The sequence below is a fragment of the Homo sapiens genome, chromosome 1 (assembly GCF_000001405.40).
Source record: "Homo sapiens chromosome 1, GRCh38.p14 Primary Assembly".
NCBI classification, from domain to species: Eukaryota; Metazoa; Chordata; class Mammalia; order Primates; family Hominidae; genus Homo; species Homo sapiens.
This window is the reverse complement of record NC_000001.11, coordinates 87,093,600-87,111,407: the sequence shown is the minus strand read 5'-3', so window position 1 is coordinate 87,111,407 and position 17,808 is coordinate 87,093,600. Positions and strand designations below refer to the sequence as shown.

At 37.5% G+C, this 17,808-nt stretch overlaps 1 protein-coding gene across 2 annotated transcripts in view; it reads right to left on the bottom strand.

Annotated features, from left to right (window-relative positions):
- Positions 1 to 1,425: 1,425 nt before the first annotated feature.
- Positions 1,426 to 17,808, bottom strand: part of HS2ST1 (heparan sulfate 2-O-sulfotransferase 1) — a 195,348-nt gene continuing 178,965 nt past the window's right edge. The window contains exons 5-7 of one of the 2 annotated variants that reach the window (NM_012262.4): positions 13,473 to 13,570; positions 7,819 to 7,976; positions 1,426 to 6,938 (exon numbers count right to left, since the gene is read on the bottom strand). In NM_012262.4, the coding sequence (NP_036394.1) occupies positions 6,712 to 6,938; positions 7,819 to 7,976; positions 13,473 to 13,570 (483 nt within the window). In that variant the 3' untranslated portion in view covers positions 1,426 to 6,711. Of the gene's footprint in view, positions 6,939 to 7,818; positions 7,977 to 12,962; positions 13,571 to 17,808 lie in introns of those variants that run through there. The other variant, NM_001134492.2, reaches the window with a different exon arrangement.

The window sequence follows — 17,808 nt, the reverse complement described above, 5'->3', positions numbered from 1 at the left end:
ACATGAAATACCCAGATTTAGGGCAAATTGGCTCACATTTGTGAAAGCAAAACAAAGTTCAGAAACCAGATCACTTGGGGACTGTAGGTCTACTCTTTGCCAGATTTTAACATTTAATTAGATACAGGTTAAAGCTTTGATAGTTTAAGGCGGCACATGCTTAAAAAATCACAAATTAGCAAGTTTGACAGTTCTTTGATGTTAAATTTCTACTAAGAGACTGAGTGATTTTAAACTGGAAAGAAAGGAGAGCGGAGGGAGAGGGAGAAAGAAAAGAATGAACTGATTCTAGAATCCCAGAATAATCACTCTTCGATCTGCTGCTCAGGGACAGAAATTTCTTAACATTCTTACAGTTCAAAATACTTATGTTGTCTGTTTCATGGAGGGCGTATTTAGCAAGAAAACCTAGACAGGGGTCAGTTACTGCACTTACAGCTCATCCTCTTCCTTTTCCAGCATCACCGATAGACAGGCTGAAGGCTCTAGAAATCTAGTTGCCCACACCCTTGATCTAAAAGAAAATTAATCCATATACGTTTTCTCTATTTCCCTGTAAACGCTGTCAGTGCTAATGATGTGAAACATTTCCAGGCATGACTTTCATTTCTAAACTTCAGGTTTAGAGAAGTAGAGGTAGAGGCTTAGAGTTGATGTGTTTTATTAGACGCCTTCATCATCAAACCAGAGAACATCAGAAAAGTTTCTAGGGGGTTCTTTCTAAACTCTAACCCAGGTCACAAAATCTGGAAGAGCAAAAGAGGCAAGGAAGCCAAACATCTGATAGGGAGACAGTGAATTCTTTCTTTGTGATCCTATGTTCTTTGGGAAAACACTAGTCTGTTTTATAAGCTTTGACACAGGAAGTAATCATCATTGCCTAATTGAGGCAAAAGCAAGGGGTGCTGAAAATTTGCACAGATGCATTGTGTTACAAACCCAAGTTAATGCCTTCATTCCCCATTTATTGATTATATCCCACCTGTCACCAAATGTTGGCGTTTCTGGCCCTGAGATCTGTCTGCTTCTCCCCAACCTTATCTCTACTTTTCTTGACAACTGCAGTCAGGTCCTCAGAGGTTTTCATGTTCTCAGTTTTTAGCTTGAGAGCCTATTCCTTACACTGCTGCTGTCCTTTCTGTTCAAAGAGTGCAAATCATTTCATTCCTGTGATCCTGAATTTTATGTGTGTACTATTTAGCAGTCCTTACTGTTCAAATATACTAAGATATGAACTCAGTCATTTCTGGAATAAGCAAGTCCTATCTTCTTTAGAACAGTCAGCGTTTCCCCCCTTTAATCTGTACAAATGAGTGATTTGTATGTGGAAAGAACAGCAAGAATCAGAACCAGGAATATTTATGCTACAGGTACATAAGTGAGGCGGTATTAAGATAATCAGTAAAAAGTACAGTCATTCAAAAATATTTATAAAAATATCATTTATGAAATGACAAAACCAGTATTCTGCAGGGTGAGAACGGCACATCAGCTTGGTAACAATATTCCAGCACAGCATATAAATGCCATCAGTTATTAGTCTACCCTGGCCAGTACTTTGCATACATCATGCCCAACCTTTACAACAATCCTGTTATGTCCATTTACTGACATCACATTGCTAAATGCAGATCCCTTTGATTCTCAAGCCATGCTCTTTGTTCAGCCACTGCAAGTACAAACCAAATTCTGTTAAGAAAACTCATCATTGAACTGGTATTTTATCAACCCAATATCATATAATATAAATAGAATCAATCAAGCATTGCTCAAAGCAATGAGCCAGTGGCTAAGAATTGAAAATCAATGGAATTGAGACTTTCTTCTTTAAGGGGGAAAAAAAAAATCAGAAATGTGTGTTCCCAAAAAAAATTATGGATATGTCCAAACTGTGCCATAAATGTTAGATTAAGTTACTTTCAAATTTTTTTAATTCTAATAGCCCTTTCTCTATTTTTTTCTTCTAATTAAGTATATATTTTGTAAGTTTTCCATCTGAAATTTTATTACCAGCAATGAAGTACAAAGCAAAAGCAGCAGAGGCATGTCAGTCCAGATAAAATATTGTCACAAGCCATAAAATCATTAGAAACCAATGATGTTGCATGCTTTCTTGATGGCAACACTATCTGAGAGTTAAGTTGACACTGAACACTGAGTCAGCTTGGAAAATGTCCATCAGTGTCAAGGCTACAAAAGAAAATATTAAAACAGGACACCAATTTTTCCCCTTCCCACTGTTTATTTTATAGCTTTTGCATCAGGTAGTCAACTGAAACACTTCAACATCAGAAAGCTGGCAGAATGTTAAGGAAAAGGAGTGATTATCTCTCCAACAGATGTGACAAAATGGTTTCAAGTTGGAAACAGAATTTGCATAAATGAATCAACTGAATGGAGTGGGGGAGGGCAGGGAGAGAGAAGAGAGAAAGTAGTGAGCATCTTCCAACAGGACTATGAGGGAAAAAAAAGGCACTGTTGAGCTGTGTATTTATAAAATAAAAGTCAAAATACACAATCCATGTTTCCGAAAATTACATTCAACACTGCTTCAGAGATGCTCACATACCTGACTCTCAATAGAAAGCTACAAAAACTGTCTAAAAAATGAGATAGACAGCATCAATGTCTCAACACAGGCTTAACAGTAATGCGTTCTAAAGAGTTCATCACCATCAGGGTCCATTTTATAAATAGTACTGCAAAGGCCACAAAGCTGCATGAAATTACAGGATAAATCTGACTAAATGATCATTCATTTCAATCTCTAAAATTCCTGCTCCAAGAAATCAGAAAGCTCCACTCCAGAGGAGCTGAATTGGCAGTGGATTTGAAACAGGGTTGCTTTTCTCCTCAGAAGGCTGCCTAAAGAGTAGTTTAGTTGGCATCATACAGCAACTTTGCATAGGGTAAACGGATGCAAAAACATAACAGCAACTTCTCTGCTTCCTCTGAAAGTAAACAGCACTAATTTATGAAGAGGCCAACTCAAATCATAAAGGAGAAGCACCTGGGCCTCTTAAAGGCAAACCACATAAAAGGTTACAGGGTGCTTCTCTTAAGGATTCTAGGACCATAGGTGTGTTTGGGAATGACCAATGGAAAAATCCAGTTAGATGATTTACACAGATGTTCTCTATGTAGATTTGAATTTAAATTAAAATGCCAGCTATGCATTTGGGAACCAGCTTTTAGTTAAATTCTCTAGCACTTTTAGAATTATTTGATTTTATTAAAAAAGAATCATTGTCTACAAACTGTTTTCTAACAATGCAAATACAGTAAGCAAGTCATCTGCAATATCAAAATATTGTTTGTAAATCACTGATGGCACCAACGATTTGAGGAATTTCCAATAGGACACATATTGAGAAAAAGCAACAGATTATAGGCATTAACCAAATTTTAAGATCAGAAAATTATAAAAATCATTAAGTTTAAATTATCCAATTTTCAATAGCTTAAATCCAATCATCAGGAATTCAGAAGCACCCAATATGTTTGAAGTTGCACAAATGCATATGGATGATAGGAAAGTAATCCCCATGCAATATCTTAAGTGTTGCTATCAGATATATTTAAGTGCTACTTTACAGATTAAGCTGGGTAAAATCAAAATATATTTTACTTCCCATTAGATTTTAAAACAATCACAATAATTTATCAACAGTTGCCATTTCACAGCAATTAGAAAAGAGGAGTTGATACAAGTTGAACAGAAAGGTATCTTTTCTTCTTTTAGGAAATAAACATATATATATATATGTATATATATTTCACATACACACATAACATTATCTTTAAAATTCCAAGTGGTTACTTTTGTATTATAAAAAAATTATCTCCCTATGGTCAAAATACTGAAAAAGCGCAAAGGCTGAAAAAAGAAAACCACATTTGCCACTTTAAAAAAATACATTATTGTCTCAGTGGTTCTATTTATTTAATTGATTATAAAGTATTATGACTCCTAGTACTGTACTGGACCTGATGGAATTAAATACACCCCTTTCTCAGTCTCCAGAAAGGATACTCCTAACCCACCCTAAAATATGATAAAATAAATGCCCCTATTCTGAACTGTTAAACTGGGAAATAAACCATGCCCACCTGGAAACAATATAAGTCATAAAAGTTTATGAATCTGTGGGAGAGACTACACGAATCAGAAAGCAATTCTTTGGATATAAGTTAGGAGCTTTTAGAAGTATATAAACTCTTTTAGGCATCTAGAGTAGAGACACAAAGAGGATTTCTCCATAAATAATGATTTGGCCAGTGCAATGGTTGGTTGCCCATGGTCTGCATCTGGGATGTCATCTGTTTTTGTAAATAAAGTTTTATTGGAACATAACTGTGCTCATTTGTTTACATAATGTCTATTGCTGCTTTTGTGGTAAAATGGCAGGGTTGACTAGCTGTGACAGAGACCGTATGGGCTGCAAAGCCTAAAATATTTACTCTCTGGCCCTTCCACAGAAAGTTTACTGACCTCCTGATCTAGTTCACCAAGTACTGCTCTAGTTACCTAAAAGAGTTAATGCACCTCAAGAAGATTTGAGCATGTGGTGCAAGAATAACTTGCATACTGGGTTTGTTCATTAGCATGTAATGTCAAACCACACCTTGAAGTGGTGCTTTATTTTGGGCGAGGAAATAATTTGTATACACTTTCAGGAAATACCTATAAAAGTCAATTTGAAAAAAGGAAAGAAAAAAGCCAAATTTAAAAAAAGCCTGCCTATGTTCTTTTAATATTTTTATATTATTGTGAGGAAAGGGTGCTAAGATGATTGTTCTGTCATTCTTTTAGTTTTTCTTTAGTTTATAAATGTTTCTTTTGTTTATAAATGTTTTCTCATAAGAAGTGTTCCCTCATGCCCTCCCATAACCTTTAAGGCAATCTACCTAAAATGCTTACAGTATGGTGAAGCCTTATTCAGAAATATTTACTTAAACCATAGGTATAGAATAGCTACCATTTCTGAATAATAATGTAAAATGAAAACAGAAACAGCTTTCAAATTTGAAGAGAAAAGTTTCCCTGACCCTAGTCAGCTAACAAAGCCTATTTCTAACAGTGAACTTCCTGAACTCAAGCAGCTGCTCATGAAGCTTTAAGAGTTCACAGGCATTTCATATTTCAATAGTTGTTGAAACATGGAAGATAAAACACTGAGAGGATATTTATCAAACACAAATTTATATCAAGATTAACTTTTTCAACCAGCTTACAAGCAGACTTTTCCCTTTCTTTGTTAAAAAATGAATGGTATGAAACTATATGTTAAAGATGTTTCTATAATACCTTACATTTACATAGCGCTTTACAATTTTCAAAGTGCTTTCACATGCCATCTCATTTAATCCTCACAACAGCCCTGTGAGGTAGGTACAGCAGGTATTATTATCCTCATTTCAAGATGAGGAAATTGAGGCAAAGAGAGGTTAAGTGACTTGCCCAAGATCACACAGCTGTAAGTGCTAGAGCTAGGACCTGAAATCAAGTTTTTTGACTCCTTGTCCAGTACTCATTCCACTGTAATTACTGCCTCAAGTTATGAATAATGAACTGTGTATCAAAATTGAAAGCTTACTGAAGTTCATTTCAGTGATGTCTTAACAGTAAAGTTAAATGAGAAATACAAGAACAGTAGGTCTGATGGTTTTACTTGACATAAAATTGGTGCAAAACCACTTTTGTCTAATTACTTGTAACCTTTTGGTCCAAATACATAAAATATGCAATATTTACAGCATTTTCCTTGTTTTGTAAATGCAATGCTTTAAAACACATTATAAAGCACCTTAGTAAAAATAGTCTACAGGTAAAAGTACAGAAGAAGTAGGAAAATCCTACCCATACCACAGCTCACTAATGGAGTCATAATACGGAGTCACCGATATCTCAGTTTACAGCTTTACAAATAACCCATGGAGAAACAAATACTAAACTTACTTTTTTGATATTAATGTGTGAAAATCTTAACTAAAACTTCAGACAATCTCAATATTCTTTGAAGTATCTTCCCAGTATTAGATATTGAGGAGGCAGGAATGAGAAATACTGCTTTGATGCTTTATCTTTTTACCATATTAGTCATGATTTAAATTGATTTTTAACACTAATCACCATTTAAAAAATTAAAACCACCTACATAAATATGGGCAAATCCAACTACAGCAGAAACATTTCTTAGCAAATATGATTAAACATTCCAATAAATTTCATGAGACATGACTCACAAAAACAAAGTACACACTGCCAAACAGTTATTAACACAATTCAGTAGAGGTGTATAACCCAAACCCTCAGTGAAGGCAGAAGAGGCAAATGGACTCATCTTAATTCATGGTTAGTTGAAAAAATGCTTTATCAAAAACAAGAGTATCAGAACCTTTTCTGAAATTGTATTTAGCCTTTTGATTAGACCTGCCATAAGTTCATTTTAGGTGATGTATATTTTCTCCCAGGCAGGAGGTTATAACTTTCACCAACGTTTAGCCAGGAAAAATAAAAATGCCTGAAACTTAGAACACTGACAATGCCAGCCAGTATCTACTTCCTTGACGTTACTGTCTGTTTCCTAATTTGGCTCAATACAAATTGTCATATACACCTACTGTCAGCAATCCAGACTGTGGAGCTGAGAACAAAGGTGAAGACAGGGTCAAATTTTAGTTCAAGAATCCAATAGTCACACCTTATACTCAGTTCGACTTAGGGTAAATCTTTTCATAGAAAAAGTTTTGTGCGAGGATGTAGAGGTCTCCATCTTTTTCTCGAACGGCATGGGCTCTGATGAATTGGAACTGCTCTAGTGCAAATTCATAGAACTCATTCTCCATTTTCCAAATATCAGATTGCTGTAGTTTTGCAATGGTTTGTTTAGTGGGGAGTTTCTTCTCTGTGGTTTTCCTAAGATGAGATTTCTTTCCTACTTACAAAGGGGGAAAAAAAGGAAAGGTAAATAATTCTTGGAGAACACACAAAAGATCAATGCCTCTTTATTTGAAGAGGTGGTTAATATGACACATTAAGAACAGGTAACATAATTGTCTTATATAATTCAGGTAAAAACGGAGCCTTGATCAAACTAGAGCCATGATTCAGTCCTTTAGAATGTTAATCCTTAACCTAGTAAAGACTTAATGAAATGTCAAATAGTCAATGTAAGGATTGGCACACAGTAAAGTGTAGGCTGTCACCTCACACACTATATTCTCAAGTGCTTGGTGCTCTGAGACTAGTTTATTTTTGATAAAATACCTATTGTCAAACTGTATTCTATTTTCTCATAATCTGTATTCTCTAAAATTATGTGTTAGAAGCTAGGGCATATGCATCCTCAAGGAGAAGAGTTCCTATGACTGCATCTTATCAAGCAATAGCAAAAAACGAAACAAAACAAAAACACAATTAGCTTATCACTTTCAGACACATGATAATACGGCTGAGGCTGCTAAAACATGGCTTAGGCATACTTCAGTTCCCCTATCACACCTCTACTTCAAAATGGTAGTAGGCAGGACTTATACACAGGCCTAATGTTTGATATCTGGCATTATTGAATACCATACATTTCTATGGCTGGTTCTGTACTTTGTATCATTCCACTATTTCTACAGTGCCTTCTAATTTTCACCTAATTCACAGTTACTCAATTGAAAATAGTGAGCAGAAACCGACAAGATACCTGCCTTTCTGGAGCTATCTGTTGTGTTTCACTGAAGAAACTTCAAATCACATATTTACAAGTTGCAAACCAAAAAACCAAACCAAAGAAAGCTTTAAAAAGAAACCCTTCCTTTATATACCTGTGCGATAGAGTTCAGTAGCACCCCTGAAAAACCGGGGCAATGCTGCCTCCAATAACATGATAAAATCTTCAAGTTCTTCAGTAACTCCCACCAGAAAATATTCATTAATTAGGTTATACTTGGCTTGATCCATAGCCCACCTGCTTCCCACATTCCTGAAACCAAAGAAAAGGAATTAAAACCTGGTTGTGAAATCTGCTGAGTGTTTCTGGTGCCTTTGACACCATATATTACAGAGAAAATAGATAAACACATGTATATCCAAAGCCTCAATGCCTCTTTATTACCATCCTGTGGGAGGCACACCTGTTTCCAATTTCATTTGCTTCCATCTCCAGTTTCTGCTCAACTATGAGTGCTAATTCAGAGTTTACCAGAGGACTCTTAACATGAGCAATTTAGTTTAAGGGCACTTTAAAAATGTATATGGATATAAGAAACATACACCCCTCCCATATGATTTAGTGTGTGTTTTAACTTTTTTAAACTACTCTAAATTCTGTTAAGAGCTCTCTAGCAAAGTGTAAACAATTTGTGTTTACTGCTTATTGTGTGAGTTTCGGGTTTTTGTGAGCTAAGTGTTTTCTGAAATTTCTGAGGAACAGAAAATAGATAATGGCTCTGCTAAGAATCTTTTATTTTTATTTTAATTTACATTGTCAGCTAATGCTATTAACAGAGATTTGATCCAAAATAAACTATACTTTTGGGTTCTTTTTAGCACAAATATTCCTTAATCCAAATTCTAGCTCTGCATTTAAGTAGCAGTATGATCTTGAGCTGGTGGCTTCACCTTTCTCAATTTTGTTTTCTCAAACTATTAAAAAAAACAAAGAGGGGGAGGGGAACAGTGATTAATTGGTTTCTAAGAACCCTCCCAGTTCTGTGAATCTATGAAACATACTAAAGAAATACAATTAACTTCTCAAAAATGCCCAATAGAGCAAGTCTTTATTGTTCTAAGGCAGGGATTGGCAAACTTTTTATATAAAAGGCCAGAGGATAAATATTTTAGGTTTTGCAGACTACATAGTGATATGGTTTGGATATTTGTTCCCTCTAACTCTCATTCTGAAATGTGATTCCCAGTGTTGGAGGCTGGGCTTGGTGGGAGGTAACTGGATCATGGGAGCAGGTCCCTTGTGAATGGTTTAGCACCATCCCCTTGGTGATGACTGAGTTCTTGGCTCAGTTAGTTCATTAGAGATCTAGTTATTTAAAAGACTGGGGGCCTGGTGCGGTGGCTCACACCTGTAATCCCAGCACTTTGGGAGGCCAAGGTGGGCGGGTCACCTCAGGTTGGGAGTTCAAGACCAGCCCGACCAACATGGAGAAACCCCATCTCTACTAAAAATACAAAATCAGCTGGGCATGGTGGTGCATGCCTATATTCCCAGCTACTCAGGAGGCTGAGGCAGGAGAATTGCTTGAACCTGGGAGGTGGAGGTTTGCGGTGAGCCGAGATCACACCATTGCACTCCAGCCTGGGCGACAAGAGCAAAACTTTGTCTCAAAAATAATAATAATAATAATAATAAACGACTGGGTCCTCCCCCTTCACTCTCTTTCTCCCACTCTTGCCATATGATGTGCCTGCTCGCACTTCACTTTCTGCCATGATTGTAAGCTTCCTGAGGCCTGCATCATAAGCCAAACAGATGTTGGTGCCATGCTTGCACAGCCTGCAGAACCATGAGCCAAGTAAACCTTTTTTCATTATAAATTACCATCTCAGGTATTCCTTCACAGTAATGTAAGAATGGCCTAATAGAGAAAATTGGTACTAAGGAGTTGGGTGTTGCTATAAAGATACCTGAAAATGGGAAAGTGGCTTTGGAACTGGGTAATGGGCAGCGGTTGGAAGAATTTGAAGGGCTCAGAAGAAGACAGGAAGAAGAGGGAAACTTTGAAATTTCTTAAGTCGAGACTGGTTTAATGATTGTGATAAAAATGCTGACAGAAATATGGACAGAAGTCCAGGCTGATGAGGTCTCAGAGGGAAATGAAGAAGTTACTGAGAACTGGAGTAAAGGTCACCTGTGTTATGCCTTAGCAAAGAACTTGGCTATGTGGTGTCCAAGTTCTAGAGATCTATGGAAGTTTGAACTTAGAGTGATGACTGGTCGGGTGCGGTGGCTCACACCTGTAATCCCAGCACTTTGGGAGGCCGAGACAGGCGGATTACCTGAGGTCTGGAGTTCGAGACCAGCCTGGCCAACATAGCGAAACCCCATCTTTACTAAAAATACAAAAATTAGCTGGGCATGGTGGCACACGCCTGTAATCCCAGCTACTCAGGAGGCTGAGGCAGGAGAATTGCCTGAGCCCGGGAGGCGGAGGTTGCAGTGAACCGAGATCGTGCCACTGCACTCCAGCCTGGCTGACAGAGTGAGACTGCCTCAAAAAAAAAAAAAAAAAAAAAAAAAAAAACAAAAAACACACACACACACACAAAAGTGATGACTTAGGACATCTGGCAGAATAAATTTCTAAGCAGCAAAGCATTTAAGATGTGGCCTGGCTGTGTCTAAGAGGCTACAATCAAATGCAAGAGCAAAGGAATGACTTAAAGTTGGAACTTACATTTTAAAGGGAGGCAGAGCATAAACATTTGGAAAATTCACAGCCTGGCCATGTGGTAGAGAAGGAAAGCCCCCTCTTTTTGTTGTTTTTTGTTTTAAAGACAGGGTCTTGCTCTGTTACCCAGGCTGGATCTTGGCTCACTGCAGCCTTAACCTCCTGGACTCATGTGTTCTTCCTACCTTAGCCTCCCAAGTAGCTGGGACTATGGGCATATGCCACCACACCTGGCTAACTTTATGTTTTGTAGAGATGAGGTTGCCCAGGCTAGTCTCAAATTTCTGGGCTCAAGTGATCCTCCCACTTTGGTCTTCCAAAGTGCTGGAATTACAGGCATGAGCAACCACTCCCACTGGAAAGCCTATTTTCCAGGGAATAGGGCAGGGAATAGGGAAGGAATTTAATAACACTGTGGAGCAATCACTTATTAAGGAGGTTAGCATGACTAAAAGGGAGCCAACTGCTAATATCCAAGACAATGGGAAAAAGGCCTCAAAGGCATTTCAGAGATCTTCCAGGCTGCCCCTCCCATCACAGGCCCAGAAGCCTTGGGGGGAAGAATGATTTAAGGGGGCAGGCCCAGGGTCCTGCTGCCCTGAGAAGCCTTGGGACATTGCTCCCCACATCCCGGCCACTCCAGTTCCAGCCTCAGCTCAAAGGAGTCCAGGTATAGCTTGGGCCACCACTCTGGGGGAGCATAAACTGTAAACATTGGTGGTTTCCAGGTGGTGTTAAGTCTGCAGATGCTCAGAATGCAAGCATGAAGGAGCTTGCATTCCACCTAGATTGCAGATTCCACCTAGATTTCAGAACTGGGTTGCACTGCAGCCCTCACCCCACACAAAGACTCAAACAGGGAACTGCCTAGTGGAGCTGTGGGAAGGTGATTATGCCCTCCAGACCCCAGAATGGTTGGCTCACCATCGGCTTGCACGCTTTGCCTGGAAAAACTACAGGTACACTCAATTCCAACCCATGAGAGCAGCCATGTGGGCTGTACCCTGCAAAGCCATGGGGGCAGGGCTGCTCAAGGCCTTGGGAGCCCACCCCTTGCACCAGGATGCAGGAGATGAAGTCAAGGATTATGTTGGAGCTTTAAGATTTAATGACTGCCCTGCTGGGTTTTAGACTTGTGTGGGGCCTACTGCGCCTTTCTTTTGGCCAATTTCTCCCTTTTGGAAGGGAAATGTTTATCCAATGCCTATACCACCATTGTTACTGGGAATAAATAACTTGTTTTTTATCTCACAGGCTCATAGGTAGAAGGAACTCATCTCCAGATGAGATTTTGGACTTGGGACTTTTGAGTTAATGCTGGAATAAGACTTTGGGACTACTGTGAAGGGATGAATATATTTTGAAATATAAGAAAGACATGAGATTTGGTGAGCCAGGGGCAGAATAATATGGTTTGGATGTTTGTTCCCTCCAAATCTCATGTTGAAATGTGATTCCCAATGCTGGAGGTAGGGCCTGGTGGGAGGTGATTGGCTCATGGGAGCAGATCTGTCATGAATGGTTTAGTGCCATCCCCTTGGTGATAACTGAGCTCTCGCTCAGTTCACGTAAGATCTGGTTGTTTGAAAGTCTGGGAACCATACCCCCACCCCTACTGCCCACTTTCTTGCTCCCACCATGTGATATGCCTGTTCCTGCGTCACCTTCTGCCACGAGTGTAAGCTTCCTGAGGCCCTTGTTGGTGCCATGCTTGTACATCCTGCAGAACAGTGAGCCAATTAAACCTCTTTTCTTTATAAATTACCCAGTCTCAGGTAGTACTTTACAGTAATGCAAGAACAGCTAATACACATGGTTTAGGTTACAATTACTCAACTCTGCTGCTGCAGTGTGAAAACAGCCACAAGCAATAAGTAAAAAAATGTATGTGGCTGTGTTTCAATAAAACTTTATTTATAAAACAGGTGACACAGCTGGGCACGGTGGCTCATGCCTGTAATCCCAGCACTTTGGGAGGCCGAGGCAGGTGGATCCCTTGAGGTCAGGAGTTCGAGACCAGCCTGGCCAACATGGTGAAACCCCATCTCTACTAAAAATACAAAAATTAGCCAGGGTAGTGCAGGCACCTGTAGTCCCAGCTATTCGGGAGGCTGAGACAGAAGAATTGTGAACCCAGGAGGCGGAGGTTGCAGTGAGCCAAGATTGTGCCCCTGCACTCCAGCTTGTGTGATAGAGTGAGATTCTGTCTCAAAAAAATAAAAAATAAAACAGGTGAAAGGCCAAACTGGGTCTGCAGGATACAACCTGTAGTTTGCCAATCCCTGTTCTAAAGAAATGGTTAAAAATTGAGAAGGCATTCTTTATAGGCTTCCAATTCTTATACTATTATGAGGCTTTGATGTAATCTAATGAGTAGGACCTTAAACTCCACAGCAATCTAATAATATTATCTCAAATAATGAAGACATTCCTTGTATTTCTCATTATGGTTTATGGAAGAAACTTTGAATATGTTCCTTTTTTCTCCTACTTCTCCTATTAAAATGATTGAATAGAACAAATAAATACGTAAAATTATTTTTAAAAACTGAAAACTCAACACATTCTGAGGAAATACAGTTCTTATTAAAGTATCTTTATTTTCCACTTGATATTTACTAGCAAACTAAACCACAGCCATAACCTTGGCTTCTCTTAAAGTCAAAATCAGTTTAACAGTAAAACCAGGTGAATTTTAACCCACTAAGCCTTTTCTTAATTTAACATGAATAGCTAAAACAGTAAGCTTTGGACAAAATAAGATTTATGACACCCACCCCCACCCCCAGTCTCTAAGAGCTCTGCTGGAATACAGCAAAACATAACACCAAAAATAAGAAATACTAAAAACCGGCATCTCAGAAAACAATGCAAGGATATTAGGATATCACTCTACATGAGGAATCTTTTAAATGCATTTAAAAGTAACTGCAAAACTAGATATTACTGAATTACATGTTATTTTTAGTCTAGTCTTTCACCGATTTCCCTATATCTAGCCCTTGTGAAATGAAACACAGATTACAGAGATAATAAGGATGATAATCAATCTGAGCCAACTTTATCTCCCCTACCAGCATTCGGAGCTATGGCCACAGAAGAACGGGATTTGAAGCCAGAGCTTCTCTGGAGCACAGTCTGAGCCACCTTCTGCTACACATTCATCAAAGGTCTAGAACAAAGACAAAGCAGCACGGGTAAGCCATAAATCCAAGTCTCACCTATCAAATATCTAATGTGGTAAATTATTAAATAAATGGGCCAGAGTAGGTGGGATGAGACACTCTTATTTTTTTTGGAGTCATGTAAATTAATCACAGTTGGGCACGGTGGCTCACACCTTTAATCCCAGCACTTTGGGAGGCCGAGGCGGGCAGATCGCGAGGTCAAGAAATCGAGACCGTCCTAGTTAACATGGTGAAACCCCATCTCTCCTAAAAATAGAAAAATTAGCTGGGCGTGGTAGCACGCGCCTGTAGTCCCAGCTACTCAGGAGGCTGAGGCGGGAGAATCGCTTGAACCCAGGAGGTGGAAGCTGCAGTGAGCCGAGATGGAGACACTGCACTCCAGCCTGGCGACAGAGCAAGACTCCGTCTCAAAAAAAACAAAAACAAAACAAAACAAAACAAAATCACATACTGCCTTGTAACAGGCAGCTCTTAGGATCTGGTTTAGAATCTTAGGATAGGTTGATCTGTCTGTCTATATCTTTATCTACATAACTTGTTTCATATGCTTTTTAAATGTGTTATGTGTTATGTTCTGTCTTTCCAACTACAGTGAAAACTTCCTGAAGTAGCATTTGTGGATCAAGCAGTAGCATTTGTGTCCTCCAGAGCATATAGAATAGTGCTATATAAACCACTTGCACTATTAATATTTGTAAATGACTACTGAAAAGACTGCACCTTGGGGATTTACATGGGTATTAAAGGCATAGCTCTAGTGGAGGTGAAGACAGAGGAAATAAAATATTTTCATGAGGCATTTGATATTATTTCTGAATTTTTCTAGATGGTCTTAGATTTGCCAGCCTAGGCCATTTTCTAAAAAGTGGTTTTATTATCATTTGTGCCAGATTTTGTAGCTCATAAGAAGAAATAAGAAATAAAACCTTATATATCCATGCACCTACCATATCCCAAACTATAGCTATTTGAATTTGAGTATTTGGTGATATTTTCTCAAAATGAATAAATTATGCCTGTCACTTGAAGGAAAAACTGACAGTGTTGATATCCCACGGGTTCTCAGCTGGAAGCTATTCTGACCCTCAGGTGATATTTGGCAATGTTTGAAGGCAATTCTCGTTCTCACAGCTGAGGTATGGGGGATGCTACCAGGTAGAAGTAAGAGATGCTGGTAAACATCCTACAATGTATAAGAAGCCCCCCACAACAAAGAATTATCTGGCCCAAAACAACAATAATGTTGAGGTTGAGAAATCCTGTGATAGGCCAATGATAAAAATTAAGCTTTCAAGCAAAAAATAAAATTTTGGAAAACTTGTATCTGCCACCATAAGCTTGACAGTCTCCCAATACTTAAAGACTTTTCTGATGAGATTAGTGGTGATATTAATGTATATGAGTTTTTAACGCTGTATAACAAAATATGTTAACATTTGAAAAGTCCACATAACTCAGTGAACCAGTATGTTCCAAATGACCAATGTATGATGTTTCAAAATTATGCTTGGTTAAAAGATTCATTCAAAGTGTAAAACATATCAATAGATTTTAATGTAGCAAAGTATAAAAAGTTCACTGCTATGGTTTCAGATTCTACATTGCAACTAACTTTTGAAACTACCACTTGTCAAGTTTTAGTGTTTATTAAAGAATAGCCGCAATTTTTTGAAAAGCTATTAAAATCCTCTCTTTTCTAATTATATATCTGTGTGAAGCTGGATTTCCTCAATTCAACCAAAAGAACATTTCGAACAAATTGAATTCAGGAGCAAATATGAAAATCAGCTGTCTAGCTTCTCAGGGTTCAAAACAAAACAAAACAAAAAAACAGAAAATGAAAAAAAAAAAAAAAGAAAACCGGCTGTCTATAGTAAGCCAGATGATAAAAAGATTTGCAAAAATGTAAACCGATGCCACTCTTTTCATTTTTTTGTCGGAGGAGAAATAGTTATGTGCATTAAAATATAATTTATGTTAACATGATGGCTTTACTATTGTTTTAATATTTTAAAATTTTTTCAGTAAATGGCAAATTTACTGATATTGGTAAATATCAATAGATATAACCCAAAACAAAACAAAACAAAACAAAAGCTCTTTGGGCAATCCTTAATAATTTTTAAGAGTATAAAAGGAGTTCCTATATCAAAAAGTTTGAGAACCACTGATTTGATTGATATAGTTATTCAATGCTCATCTTTGGATTACTTAATATCCCTATTTTCCCAGGTACTGGGCAAAGGTTAAATTAAATAAAACTCTAGTTCTAAAATATGCAAATTTGAAATCTCCCAAATCAAAAGCCTTCCATTCTTTACAAGATCAAGTGAAAGCTATCCTAGGTGCAGGTGCACATATATCTAAAATGTGTTTGAAGTGTAACCACGGAGCAGTTCAGATTACTAGAGTACGTCAGTTTAAAACATAATAGTTGCCATAAGTGCTGAACTGAATACTGTTTAATACACCTCAAAATATCACTTGAGGTGCAAAGAATCTAGAATTTTATAGAAATAAAGCTATCTACACATTTTTGAGAATAAGCGCCATTACAAGGTATTTCCAACATAATCATGGCCACCCTTTAACACCCAATATCTTTCTAAAACCTGTCCAGCTTTAGAAATGTTATATGTATGCAGTCTTATCAACTTTACAGATGAGTTTAATGAAAACTCCTGCTAGTTAAAGATATTAAGGAGTTATTTGCAATAAACACCACTTAACTCATTAGGGTATCAGCATTAGGTTACCAACATGTGTATCATAAGAAACAAGCCAAATTACTAAAAATGTCTAATCACCAATATGTTTCAAGACTGAAAAGGTACATTCTGTCTAGCACAAAACAAAGTAATTTCTTATTTTTATAAATCAATTATTTACAGACAGCCCTGTCCTCATAAGAAGTAAGACAATGCAATAGTATTTTGCTGATGTTATCAACACTACATCTAGATAAGCAGGCATATTAATGTGTATTTTATAACGAAGTTAAAAAATAAAAAAACAAAACCCCAGGCCTTATTATAGTCAGGGTGAAGAACAGATAAAGCTCCAGGATGGCCTATCTACCTAAAACTTTCAAACATGAAAGGGAGATGATGTTAAAATGCTGCCTGGATTTTTTTGTGAATATTGAATATGCAACTTTGGATCACGTTTCACAGAAAAATGTCGAGTGACATGTTGCATTTCTTCTCTTCTTTTCAAAGGATGTAAGATGTATGGGCTCTGGAATTAGAGTGCTTGGTTTTAAATTCCAGCTCTACCATTTACTAGCTGAATGACACCGTGCAAAATACTTAGCCTTTCTGTGCCCCACAGTTTCCTTTTCTGTAAAATGAGGACAATAACAGCAACTACCCCATAAAATTGTTGCGCAAGCTACCTGAAAAAATACATATAAAATAACTTAAAACACTGCTTGGTATGGTGCACAGTAAATGTGAGCTATTATTACTGTTAATAATTATTATTAGTTATTATTACCCAATCCCCCAAACTACACAGGCTAGGAACCACAAAACCATGCTATCCAGGGCTGACAATGATAAATGATGGATATAGGGGCCTACATGACTGCAATCTTTTCCTTTCCAACACCGACGCTAATATTACTTTGGTCAAAGGAGGGAGACAGATACTAACATTTACTGAGTCAAGAGTTAGTGTAAGTAGGGCTAAAATAAAAAATAAAAAGAAAGCGCACAAGTGAATTTAGAAATAAATATCAATAAATTCTAAAGTAGTAAGTCATAAGAGTTATACTAATAGATTTTATAAAACTTCGCAGAATCTCCACAATAAATATTTCTAGAAGATTAAATAATGCTGAGAGATAGCATTATTTAAGAAAACAGATTTGGTTAGTTATCTGTGTTTGGATCAGTATCTTCTGCCTAAAGCTTTGAGACTAAAGAAACAGCAATTTCTAGAAATCATTAAAAAGGAAAACAAAACAAAAAACCACTGCCCCCATCATGTGACACAGAGGGTATAACTAACTTAGAAAAAAATACTGTTGGATGTTAATTATCATTAACATACCAAGTATCTGGCATCACTACTGTGTAATAGTTTAGGTTTAAAATGTGCAGAATTCACACATTCAACCATTTGTTAAGCACTTACGGGTAACCTAGGTATGATGCTAAATTCTGAGGAAACGAAGATGAATTAAATATATGCTTCAGGAAATTCACCACATTTTGGAAAA